The 13957-nt window shown below is 40.7% G+C and overlaps 1 annotated feature.

Moving 5' to 3' along the window:
* Nucleotides 115-409: an enhancer, noted in NCBI's record as "tiled region #10919; HepG2 Activating DNase matched - State 8:EnhW". NCBI's record gives its function as "activates a minimal TATA promoter and a strong SV40 promoter by Sharpr-MPRA in HepG2 cells {active_cell/tissue: HepG2}" and the evidence as "EXISTENCE:reporter gene assay evidence [ECO:0000049][PMID:27701403]".

Genomic DNA, 13957 nt, shown 5'->3' on the forward strand with positions numbered 1-13957 from the left:
AAATCAGAAATGATGTATTTTGTCCCAATTCTTCCCTATATCAAGCATTTAGGGGCCCCAAGAGAGACCCACATAGAAGTACTTCCTTTTCTTTCCCTGTTCAATAAATAACATTCTGAGGCCGAGGACAGGGAGATGTGGAGAGCAGAATCCAATAGCGGAAGCCACCCAGACTAGATAAACAGGAGGGGGCAAATGAAAATAAGCAGGTGAGGAGGAGGCTGGGAATGGCCAGGAGGGCTAGGGGTGTGTGGCAGGGAGCTTGGACTGTGGACAGCTGCTGAGCAGAGCACCAAGGCCAGGCACGTGTGTCACTGAGGTGAACTTCAGCACAGCAGAGGTTCTGTCCTTGTAGGGGGAAGGGCCCAACCTCCAGGACAAGCAGTGGACCTAGCAGTTACCATGTTCCCACTCAGTATCAGAGACGCTGCTGAGAGCTTGGCACCAACGCTTTTCATTCTGACGAGCACCCAGCCCTTCGGATTATCCATAATTACACTTGTGTATATGGAGGTAAAACAGACTCAGAGAGGTTAAGCGCACCTGTGTTCCCATGTTACTCAGACAAAATTGAGGTTGGAATTCATGTTTGTTTTCGGTTTTTGCTCTTTCTATTGTACTGGTGCTTCTCGAATTGCTCCGATGTGAGAGAACCTGGATGGTCCGGGCATTCTTTGTGGTGTGTGAATCATGTGGAAATACTGGATGGGTCAAGCTTACAATAGCTGAATATACAATTCCATGTTAAATCAGATACCACCTTATGTACACTCCATTTAGGAAGTGTTCAATGACTTTTACAATTACAGGAGAGAAACAGAAAAACTTTGAGAAAAATCTATTGATTTGATTTTTCTGTGTCCCAGGAAAAAGGTGATCTCTAAAAGTGAGTAATAGCAGAAGCCCCATGTCCAGCTTGGGGACCACTATGTCTTCAGGAAGTAGAGTCAGAGACCATCCCCCGCTCGGACTCCGGCTCTCCACTGGAGAGCAGTGAGGAGGTGAGAGTCCCCTGCCCTGCCTCCACCTCCCTCAGGTCCCTCTGGCTTGCTACAAATGCCCACCAGAGAAGCAAAACAGTGATTTTTGTTTTAGATTTTATCATTTCATTTTTACATAAGTCACCCAAGCTTCTTGTTAAAAATTACAAAACACAGATAAGCCAAAAAATATATATAAATGAATTAGTTGTAAAGATTCTCCACTAATACTCACCAGCAATAAAAATTTGGACCTGCACTCATTCAGATACTTACTTTCTGTGCATGTCCAGGCTGTAGATTTTTTTTTTCTGGCATGCTTACCGTTCTACATCCATTAGTTCACAGCTGCACTAGTGTTTCCCAAAGATGGGTTCCCACGACGTATACAGTAACATTGTCCAAGATACAATTTTAAAATGAAGATTCCTAGACTCTTTATTCTATAAAATCAGCATCTTGCACCCCAGGCACACTGACAGCCTGCTTTTAACAAACTTCCTGGTGATTCTCACGATTCTCACAGTCCTCATTTTTATTTTGCCCAGGAATACTTCAATGTATTCCAGAGCCTGATTTAGTTACTCAGAGCCCTACTGATAGACACTTAGGCAATTCCTGATGTTTTTCTCAATGGTGTCACCTATATCAGTGTATACATTGTTTTCTTTGAACAAACACCTGTTAGTGGAGTTGTAGGATTATGGACTCACTGGTATACTGATACTTCTTGTATGTGTTGACTGTTGCCCTCTGAAGCAGGAATAGTGATGGGCAGACCCCAGTTGCACCCCCAGCAGGCAACACAGTGTTTTCAGCTCACGTAAAGATCTGAAGTATCAGGAGGACGTGCTGAAAGCTGAGGGCTGCTGAGATAAGGGAGCCAGCCTTTGTAAGTGTGAAGCCCAGAGATGAAAGCCAACTCAAGCCATGCCCCACATGCACTGGACCTGGTCCTGCCCACTAGAGCAGTCACCCCCATGACCCCTGCACCTGCCATGCACCGAGAGGCTCCCAGAGTAATCACTCCCACACTGTCGTCTCCGTGAATGAATCTTCCACGGGGAGACTTCAGAGGGGGGAGGGGGGTTTGTAGGGGAAAGAAGAGCAGCCCCCCTTGGCACCTCCGTGGTTGGCTTACACACCAGACCTGGCAGGGGTGGATGAACTTTCACACATCCCATGTGGCATTCCTTTATTCAGCAGATAAAGGTTAGAACATTCACCTGTCAGCAAGTATGATGGATGCTGGAGCCACAGTAGCAGGTGGGACTCAGTCCCTGACCTTGAGTTCCTTGGACTTCATTTGGGGAGACTAAATTATGGAACAATTAGAATGCCACATGAGTGGAAGTGTAGCAGAGGTAAGGCTTATTATCCAGGGACACAGGGAAGGAGCCCAGACCTCCTGGAGGTCCCAGGAAAGTCATCAGAAAGGTGACACTTTCTCCATCATCTGAAAAGGAAATGTTTTTAATTATGAAAGAAGTACACAATTGCAAAAAGTCTAAAGCATACAGAGGCATAGATAAACTTTAGAAACCCAACACATCCTCATTTCCCTAACATAATTACTGTTAGGTTCTGGACTCTAAAAATCTATATTAAAAAGATATATGTGTAGGTATATACATAATGAGATCATAGTTTACAGGCTTTTCCTTCAACTAGTTTTCTCACTCAACAGTATAGCATGGGCGTCTTCTCATGTCAATACATTTGTGGCCTCCTTTCACAATTATTTCAGTGGCTGTAGAGTCATCTACATCACAGGTGTTCCATGAGGCATTTAAAACGATAGCACTCATCCTTGCTTTGATTAGTGTTGTATTATGGATTTTATGGCCGGGCTTCCCTCAGGCCCTATCAGAGATTGCACTTTGAGCTGCTTTTTTGGACACAGGTTCCCTTATCAGCACCAGCGGGTCTCTTAATGAAAATCTAGCATCTTAATAGATTGTTGAGTCCTGAATATACTGTCTTACAAGTAAGCCTTAAATGTAAAAATCAAGGAAGCTCAAGTTACTGATAGACCTACTAATATTATAGGTGAGAACACTAAAACTAGAGACACATTTTCCTGAGGAATGTTCTAGACTTCAAAATGTTGGCACTGAGGGGGCCGCCTCTCAGCGAGTTGACTACTGGTGACCTCTAATGGCAATCCAAGATACTGCACAAAAACCCCGTGGAAAACTGGGAACTGCTTGTATTATGTGTGGTTAATTCAACTGCAGTTGTGAATTCCCAAGGTCTTTGAAAAGGTGCTAAGTTGTCTCATGATTAGAAGGGGGCTTAACAGAGTATCATGATGTAGATCCAGTGAGTCATGCCTCAAATTGGACCACTTATTTTCTGGCTGGAGCAAACGATCATTTTCATAGATGCGTAATATTGCACATAATGTAAAGATATACACACATTTAAATGTCCACATTAACTCACCCACTAGTTAAATATCAGAAGGCATATTACTCCTATGGCTTGAAATGTCCTGTTATTTAGCACAATATTACCAGGGCAGTCCAGAAATACCTGCAACCATTCATTGCCTGTCTAATGTTTGGTTTTGAAGGGGTGGGTCAGGCAGAGGGTCTTAGGCCACTGCTGGTAAATGCCAAACTAACTCTGAGGTCAGAAGTCCTTGATGCTACATCCCCAGGTTCAAAAGCCTAAGAAGCCCTCATTTGGACTGGGCAGCGTCCCTCCACCTGAGAGAAATTAATAACAGCAAGCTTCTGAATAATTGCTGAAATCCACACCTGAACCCAGATGGACCAGAGCAGCCACAAAGTCCTCAAAGCACCTGACCAGCCCCCTCAGTGGGCTATTTTTGTAGAAAAAGAATGAGTCCTGGAAAACAACCAAATACCCATTGTTTGGCTGCGTTTATTTTCCATCAAGAGTGATGCAGATAGCTTGCCCAGTAGGGACCCACTCAGCGTCTAAAGACTAGGCAAATGGAGGTGGGTGGACTTTGGCAGTGCATGGTACTCAGTGGAAGGAGAGAGCAGAGGAATCAAGCAAAGAGTGAGAAAAAAAGATCCTGACCATCAGGAAAAGTACAGCCAAGAGAAACTCTCAGATGGGGAAAAGGAGAACTGGGGTACATTGTCACATAATGCAATGACACAGTGGTGATGTGAGAACTCATTTAGGTTTTCTCTCCAAAACTTCAGGGTGAGACTACTGGAATTAATTTCTATTTTATCAATACCAGAGGGAAAAAAGGATGAATTTTGTTATTTTTAGCAATACAGTATGTGTCACATTCAGAAACCAGAAAGACCAAGTCTGGTTTTTAACCACTACTTTATGGGGCTGAGTAAGCTGCTGAGACTGACAAAGAGATCTTCTCCGCCAACTTTACAGAGTTCACTTACCCCCAGTCACCTTTCCCACTCCTGGAAGATGAAGGTGTGGCCATAATGCAACAAAATAATTAATGGTGATGTTTGAAAATTAAGAAGACAAATCCTTATAGGCTATTCGTGTTCATTTTTTCTATGTATTTTAAATGACATAATGACATGTGCTGGAATATATATATGTATATATGCTGTTACATATATGTATATTCACTTTAGAAAATTTATGAAATACATAAAAATAGTAAGGAATAATTAAACCACTCAATTCTACTACATGACAATGATAATGTCCAATATTTTTATGTGTATTCCTGTAATTCTTTATTATTTATACCTATTGCCACACCTCTATTTCTTTATCCACTACTACAGAGTTGGAAATAAAATTACTATTGTATTTTGTGAATCTGTTTTATTTTGCTTTAAAGTGATAAAGATGTGTATTACACATTCTTCTAAAATATGACTTAAGAGATGTACAATATTCTGTCATAAATCTATCACAATCTATCATTTAAATCGCTTTCATTGTTTTGTGACTGAAAATAATGCTGTAATGAACATTCAATAACATTTCCTTTGTTTACTTATGTGTTTTACAATTTACTAATAATTCAGATCACTGAATAAAGGTGAAAGGGCCTTCCCAATTTCTTCAGTGAATGGGTGAAGATGTTCAGGTTCAAAGGTGATAAATGGCTTACCTGAGGCTACACAGAACAAGTGATGATACAAGATAATCAGTAGGGAAATGAGAAAGAACCCTCCCCTGGGCCCATTGCCTGGGCCAGGACAAGTGTCCTGTGTCCCTGCCGGTTCCAAGGCTCAGTGGGTCGGCTTCCATGCATGGTTGCTATGGAGGCCTGAGTGGAAGGGAGGTGCCCACATTATGGCTTGAAACCTTTTGCTCTTCACCTCATTTCCTCCTCACAGCACACCAGGAAATTGGTGCGAAGTTTCCATCTGACAGATAAGGAATCGGAGGACCAGGGGCCCAGAAAAGGCTCCAAGGAACAGATCGGAGATGGGGCCTAGTTTCTAGAAAGTTAACTGAAGCCCTTTGGGGTCAAGGCCTTTGGAAGAAGTGGGTGAGGAGGAAAAGAAAAGTAGGGGGAGTGGAGGAGGAGGAGGGAGGAAGAAGCATAGGGGGAGGGCTGGAGCAGGAGGAGGGAGAGGGAGGAGTGGAGGGGTCAGGGAAGAGTGGAGGAAGAGAGGAAGAAGTGGCTCTGCATTTGTAGGCTTCAAGGCATGCTGGATTTTGTTTATGAGTAAAGAGTCCTGGCTCTCAAGGTTAACTTTTATCCTGACACCAGCTATGAAGGTCAAGGGCTGCAGAGGGTCCAGAACTGTGCTGAGGTATGACTAGGCAGATCCATATGAAACTGCCATTCTTCTAGGCCAAAAGGGATGAATGCTGGCAAGTTTATGGGATTTAAATCAATCTTTTCTCCTCTGTCTCACTATTAGGAAGGGGTTACTTGTTTTTACAAATGCAGAAACTGCAGAACAGAGAAGTCAAACAACTTCCAAGGGATTTTACTTGTGAATAAACCAGTTTTTGTACCTGAGCTGTGTGACTCTGGAATCTACCTGTTCAGTGCACATTTAAACAAGTGCCCTTTCTGCAAGTGTCTCTCTGAGCTCTCTTTCTGTGATTTAAAATGTCATGTATATAAGAAAATACTTCCACTGCTTGACCCTACCCACACTCACACCAATCACTTCTGCCCCTCAATGGCCACAGAACATTAGCAAAAGCAATTGCACAGCATGATATGAAGTAAAGAAAAAGGTTGCCACAGTCGCTAAAAGGGAGCAAATGCACAAACCACGCCAACCGCAGCACAAAAATAAGCATAAACGAACAAAACAAGAGAAATTCAAAAAGAAAATTGAACACATCTGGGATTTTAAAACAAAAGTGGAGCTCTGCTCTAGAGAAGGCCTGTGTCCTGCAGGAGACAGAGGAGCTACAAACAGCCCAGCCGACGAAGGCAGCTGGGACACAGGAGCCGCAGAGTTCTCTCGGCACATTCACAGAAGCACTGCACCTTTCACTGGGAAAACCAAATGCACAAAAAAGTTGTCTTTTTTTTTTTGTAAGTGGTTGACAAAGAAGAAAAAGAAAGCAAACAAAAGTTTGTATAAAAATCCCAAAAATGATAAAACTCACATTTCAAATCAGGGCAGGAAAAGATTGAGAGTGAACTTTGTGTTTTTCATTACCATTGATACTGAATCTTTGAGCTGTATTTTTCAGACAAGATAAATTAAAAATATAAAAGTAAATAAACCTGAATATTAAAAAATAAAAGAAAGGTGATGTTTTCTTGATTTATGTGCATTAACCAGCAAGTAATTGCATCAGAGGAAATTTGTTATTGTAATTCTCATGTTCTTTCAGTTATTGGAGGGGGAAAATGAAAGGCAGGAAGCAGCACAAGTATTATGGCTTTTCTACAAATTTGCAGTATAATAACATTGTATTTCCTGATTCTGTAGCAGAATCAGGAAACAGAGACTATGTTCCGGGAAAGGATGAACTGTGATAAACATTGAGATGTAAGGACTGAACCTACGGAGTCCACAGAGGTGCTGGGAGAAGCTTGTGGAGCTGACAGTTTAAATGCATCCCTATAACATGTACCTGGAGATGCTTATCCTTTGGTGCCACCCCCGTGTCCTGGTCTTCCTTCTATTTCTGGCCACTCCCTCTTAGTCTCCTTAGTGAATGACTCTTTCCCTCCCCATTGAGTGGCAGTTTTACTCAAGGATCTGTCCTTGGCACCCTTCCCCCACTTGTTCTTACCATAAACCCCCCAGTCATCATCTCCAGCTGAGCCCTCTCTTCTGTACTTTAGACCAACTGCCCAGATGACACCTTCACTTGCATGTCCCCTGGAATCTCAGCCTTAGCGCTTACGAAAATGATTTTTTGATACTTGCTTCCACTTCTTTGAACTCCACTCATCATCACTACCATCATCAACACAAACTGGTCACTCCCTGGGCATTCCCTGACTTTGTGGGTGGTCTTCTATCCACGTTTACAACGCGGATACCTTAGATTGGGTTCCCTAAAAGAAGATGCTTAGACAAGGATGTGCAAGAAAGTAGTTTATTTGGGAGGCAACTCTAGAATACACCAATAAGGGAGAAAAGAAGTGAGATAGGGAAGAAAAAGTAGCCAATAAAAGGTGCACATCAAGCCAGTTCCTTTTGTAGGTAACTAGGGTTCACCCTATGGAGAAACCTGGGAGACCACACAGAACATGCCTTAGCATTGACCCACCCAGAAAGTGAGGGAAGTGGGGTGTTTATCTGCCAACTCTCCTCTTGAGAGTTCCTCCTTGGGGGTGTTAATTCTCTTAAACTTAAGCCTGGCAGCCCCTCAGGCAAAGACATGCAAATGCTGGCAGTTCAAAGTTGGGCTGGCAAGCACCAAATGACAAGGGCTGAGGGAATATGGGAGGGGTCCAGAAATCTGGGGGCCTCCTCTGACTCCTCCTTCTCCCTCCTTCATGCCTTCCAGTCCCTTTATCAACCACCAAGTCTTGCAGATTCTACATCCTATATAGCAGATATCTGTCAAATTCTCTCCGTATCCAAAGCCAACTCTCTTGTTCAGGACACAATCCCTAACCTGTAGCTTAATACAACAGGCTCTGAACTTGTCCCTCTGCTTCCAGTCTCCAATTATTATCCATATTGAGACCCGGAGCAAGTCTGATCATCTCACTTACTTACATATAGTTTTCTATGGCTCCCTGCTTCCTTTAGAATAAATTCCAGTACCTGTAGCAAAGCTTAAGGCATTTGAATGATCTGCTCCAGGTACCGTTTTCAGTCCCATTTCTCATCCTCAGGCTTTTGTGAACTTTGGTCTCAATAAACTTTCTTCAGTTCAACAAAAGTGCAGTCCTGCATAGATGTGGTTTTTTCTCCCTGAAACACTGTTCATGAGTTCCTATGAATTCTTTGCTAAACTAACTCATTCTTCAGGTCTAGCTTAGGCATCACTCCTCCAGGAATGTCTCCTTGCCTCCCCTAATCAAGGTAAGTGCCTTCTCCTTTGGGGTTTAATAACATCCTGTATTTCCCTACCAAAGCCTCAATCACACTCCATTACAGTCCCCTGTTTGCTTGACTGCATCTCTTTCCAGGCTCAAAGCTCTGAGAGAACAGGGACTCCAGGCTCCTCCCTTTCTACATTACCTCTCCAGCACCTAGCACAGTGTCATTGTGAGCATGTATATTGAATAGATGAATGAATAAATTGTTGAACTAAGTGACTACCAAGAGAGTAATACATTATGAATCATTAAACTCCTAATGAAATTTAATTTGTCTATTCATTACTTTGGATGAAGATACTTTTTTTCATGGCTAAAGGCCTATGCAGTTAATGACAGAGCCTGATTCAGATCTCTTTGAAAAGATAGTGTCAAAATTGTACCACAATCTGGCAGCTCCCAAATTATTGTTGATAAGCCAATTTCAGACTTGTCTACATATCAAAAGTTATTTTTTTCTCAGGGAAAAGAAGAGCGTGCATGTGCAAACGCCTGCCACTCAACAACCGTAAGACTATGAGAGGGCGGGACTCACTGGAAGGCAGAGAGCCTTTTTATTTCTCTTTCTCTGACCTATGATGCTTAGCCATGTGCTTGTTATTAGTGGACAATCAACAAATATTTTCTGAATTAAAACCCAGATTTGAATTTTTGAAACATAAGATTTATTTTATTAAAATAAGAAAATATACCTAGCCATATACCTCCCCAAATTGAAAAAAGGTATTCAGACAAAGACTTATACACAATATTCATAGCATTATTCATAATAGACAAAAAGTTCATCAGCTGATGAGCGGATAAACAAAATGTGTTGTAACCATCACCATACAAGGGAATATTATTCAGCCATAAAATGGATAAAGTACTAACACATGCTGCGACTTGGATGAACTTTGAAAACATGCTTAGTGAAAGAAGCCAGATGCAAAAGGCCAGACATCATATGATTACATGTATATGAAATATCCAGAACAGGCAAATCTATAGAGATAGAAAGTGGATGAGTGGTTTCCAGGGGTTGTGGGGAGGGGGAGTGGGGAGTGCCTGGTAATGAGTATTGAATTTCTTTTGGGGGATGATGAAATGTTCTGGAATTAGATAGTGGTGATGGTGCACAACTTTGCAGTATACCAAAAACCATGAAATTGTACACTTTAAAGGGCAATTTATGGTATATAAATAACATTTTAATTTTCAAGAGATTGTGGCTTAGAAAACTAGAAAATATAGCACAGTGAGAAAAATACAAACTTTACATTTAGATGGATTTATGTTAAATCCTGACTCTACTATTTACTAGTTAGAGATCTTGGAAAATTATTTAACTTCCATGAGATTCAGATTCATATTCTGCAATATAAAAATAACAACACCTGCTTTTAGAGCTGTTGTAAAAGTAATTGGTAAGTGTGTCGACAGAATTTTGCCACACATATGTGTAATTAACATCATTATTAATACTATATGATAATTTGATAGTTAAAATATTATAACTGAAAGGTGACAACTGCATTTTCCCTCATATGAAGCCCAATCCCCCTCTGGGACTCTTTGGCAGAGTTGAGAACATCCACACGGATAATCCAAGTAGAAGCGGTCAGTGCACAGCACTAGTCCACCCCATTAGCTATGGAGCAACAATGGTCATCTCCAGGGTTTCTACACAAGACTCCAGCTCCTGATGAATAAGGGAAAAAATTGTATCATTTCTGCTTGGCCTAGGTCTCTGTACCTCCTGAAAATTTCCATGGTGTTTGAGTTCTCATTTTGTGGACTGTATGGAATTAATCAAGCTCTGGCCACTGGTTTAACCACAGACTTGTCTGTACTCTTCTATGGTTTCCCACAGCAGTGGAGGTGTGCAATGTCCCTGATCCAAGGGCTCCTTTCAGGTTGCCTGAAGTCCTTCAAGATCAAGAAACCGTTTGGAATTAAGGACACCAAACCTCGTGAGATATTTTGTTTTGTTTTTTTAAAACAGAAAATGAAGGTGAGCATACAAATGCATAACATTCCATCAGAAAATGAAACCAAACCCTTGGTCAAAAAAGTGATTCAGCCACATTTTCTTAATCCAGTCTATCATTGTTGGACATTTGGGTTGGTTCCAAGTCTTTGCCATCGTGAATAGTGCCACAATAAAAATATGTGTGCATGTGTCTTTATAGCAGCAGGATTTATAATCCTTTGCGTATATACCCAGTAATGAGATGGCTGGGTCAAATGATATCTCTAGTTCTAGATCCTTGAGGAATCGCCACACTATCTTCCACAATGGTTGAACTAATTTACAGTCCCACCAACAGTGTAAAAGTGTTCCAATTTCTCCACATCCTCTCCAGCACCTGTTGTTTCCTGACTTTTTAATGATTGCCACATATACACCATGGAATACTATGCAGCCATAAAAAAGGATGAGTTCATGTCCTTTGTAGGGACATGGATGAAGCTGGAAACCATCATTCTCAGCAAACCATCATAAGGACAAAAAACCAAACATCGCATGTTCTCACTCATAGGTGGGAATTGAACAATGAGAACACCTGGACACAGGGCAGGGAACATCACACACTGGGGCCTGTCATGGGGTGGGGGGAGGGGGGAGGGATAGCATTAGGAGATATACCTAATGTAAATGAAGAGTTAATGGGTGCAGCACACCAACATGGCACACGTATACATATGTAACAAACCTGCACATTGTGCACATGTACCCTAGAACTTAAAGTATAATACAAAAAAAAAAGTGATTCAGCAACAGTTAAATGAGTGGAGGTGTCTTAAAGGTAATCTCATTATTCTCGAAGTATCTCTAAGATTGAGACCCCAGATTTATGGACTGCCATCTCCTACATGAAACGATAAAGAGAGAATAAATCTATGTTCATATGCACAACTGGGCCAGAGGATCCAGTTTTCATTTGATTTGAACAAGTAGAAAACGTTCATCAGGCTTTAGCCAAAATACTACATATTGATTTAAGTTAGTCAATTAAAAATGGGCAAAATGACAAAACTGCTACATAAGTAGCCATGCTACACACCTGAATACACGCATCATGTCCAACAAGCAATTACTTAATTTTACTCTGTGCTGTCGCTTGTTTGCTTTCAGAACACTGCACATATGATAACGAGCTTAATGTTCTGCTTTGCCTGTAGCATTTTCACTGATGCCCATGAAATTCTGAACCATATGATTTTATATTCTATACTTTCTATTTTTCATTATCCAAAAGTATAATTTTCTACTGTGTTCTAGTAAACAGTCTACTGTATATGTATGAATGAAATAATGTCTTTTTCCACAGTGATGCAAAGAACTTTCACTCTTTTTTACAAAAAAGAACATGCCTATGTTGCAGAATCAAGCTTTTTGTACATATTAAACTGCTTACAGTTTGTACATAGTAAACTGTAAGTAGGTACAATCCTTTTAAACTTGTGAGTTACTTAACAAAAATATCTTCTTAATTAGAAAATCAAACTATTTTCTCCTTTCATTTGACGTAATGACCCCATTGCATGGTTTTGGGACAACAAAGATACTTTAGTATGAGCAAGTTAACTTCAATATTCATGGAAAACTACAAGGTCAAAACTCTCCCTATCTCAGTGGTGAGTGTGGGGCTCTGCTTTGTAAAAAACAAATGGACAGAAGCAAAGGAAGTTATGTTTGTCCTTCCACAACCATAGCATGCATAGACCATCTCGACTACAGGTAGGTAAAGTTTTACAGTCAAACTCCAAATTCCAGATCTTCAACCACGCGGTTACAGTGGGGCAGCCACGTTTATAAAGTGAGACCCTCCTACCCTCTCTGGCCACACTGATTGGACCAGGCAAAAGCATCTGACCCAAGCTGGGCCAATGAGCCTCTTCCATTTGAAACTACCAGAAATGGAGAGTGAAAGAGCTTAGTTTTAACTTGGCTGTATTTGACTGCAGGGTATATAATTTTGGAAAAAGAATGCCAGGATCTTTTTCTTTTCATCAGGTGGTAAATCGAAGGCTCATCTGCAATGATGAAGACTAAAACTCCCCCCTGGAGTGAAGCAAGGCTGAGAGACAGAAGAGAGAATGTCCTGGGTTCCAATCAGAGAGGAGGACTGTGGTTCATTGCAGTGGGGCGGACCAAGGGGCTCCCTGGTCCCCTGCTTCCAAGAGCTCCCATATCCTGGTAACCAAATCTCTCCTTCCTTTTATTTCCAAAATTCCCCCAATGGGTTTTCTATTATTTGTAGTCAAGAGAATCCTGACCACAAATCACAATACTAAATATTTTTGAAATCCAAAAAGATATAAGGAGAGTGTGAGTTTAATAATTATTAACAGCTGGTCTGAGGCTTGAGACTGTGAAAGTAATAAAGTCATGAGAGGATTTCCCTTGAAGTACGTCAGTGCGAGTGGCTCACATTGTCATTCATGCTTTGTCGTCACCCTGTGAGGATGTGTATCATTAGAAGGATGAGGCTACCACGAAAACATTTTTTGAATAAACCATCTGAAATCGCCTTCAGCTTCAACAATGACTTTTCTCCATAATATAAGAAAGGTGATTGTGCAACACTTATCGCAGCTCTCACAGCATTCCTAGGATATGGGGATGTTTTCTCCTATTTTGCAGATAAATAAATACATAAATAAATAAATAAATAAATAAATAAATAAAAAGCTTGACTTGGAGAACTAATTTGCTTCAAATCACACAGCTAGTCAGGGACAAAGAAAAGCCTTGGACTCAATTCTTCTGGGTTTTAAGCAAAGCATTTTTTCTGTGATACCTTGCCCTTGTTCCTGTCTGTTTGCTAGGCAAGGATATTGGTTTCATTGCATTTAAAGGTTTTGAAAGTGCTTAATGAGTTATTTTATCATTTTGGAAAGGAAGTGTTAAGAAAGACATTATTTAACTTACTTTTATTCATATTTTTATATTGTGTAAAAATTGCCAGAAGACATAGAAGCAGAACATTTTGCCTTAATAGTGTCTTAAAGATCCCTAGCTGGTAGCCCCCAAAAGAAGTCTGCATTGAGACATGGTTTTACTGAACATCTGGAAATGTGCACATTCAAATACAGGAATAAGAACTTCATTTTGTAACAAAAACAATAATTATATAACACTTCTTAATATTAGCTATCACTTCCTAATATTTTCACTGTCACACTGAGCTAAATTTTAATATGAATTATCTCACTCAATCCTTAAACCAATCTGTATAAGGCAGGCAACATAACTTTTCCAAAGTTGTACAGGGAACAAGAAACAAAACTAGGACCCAAATCAAGGATTCTCTGATGATCTCCATGCTTGTAATGTTCTCTTTCTTTTTCCCCCACCAATATGTGGACCACGGTCTTCTTAACAAAATAGCTGCAATATGTGGTATTAATCATTATGTACACACACAGACACATACACAAATACAAAGGAGATTTGCTATTAACTTAGATTGTACAATTAAAAACCAAAAGCCAGTCATTACTGTATGACTTAAACCAGAACCTGTGTTCTATTCCAATATCAGGT

The sequence above is a fragment of the Homo sapiens genome, chromosome 20 (assembly GCF_000001405.40).
Source record: "Homo sapiens chromosome 20, GRCh38.p14 Primary Assembly".
Lineage (NCBI taxonomy): Eukaryota > Metazoa > Chordata > Mammalia > Primates > Hominidae > Homo > Homo sapiens.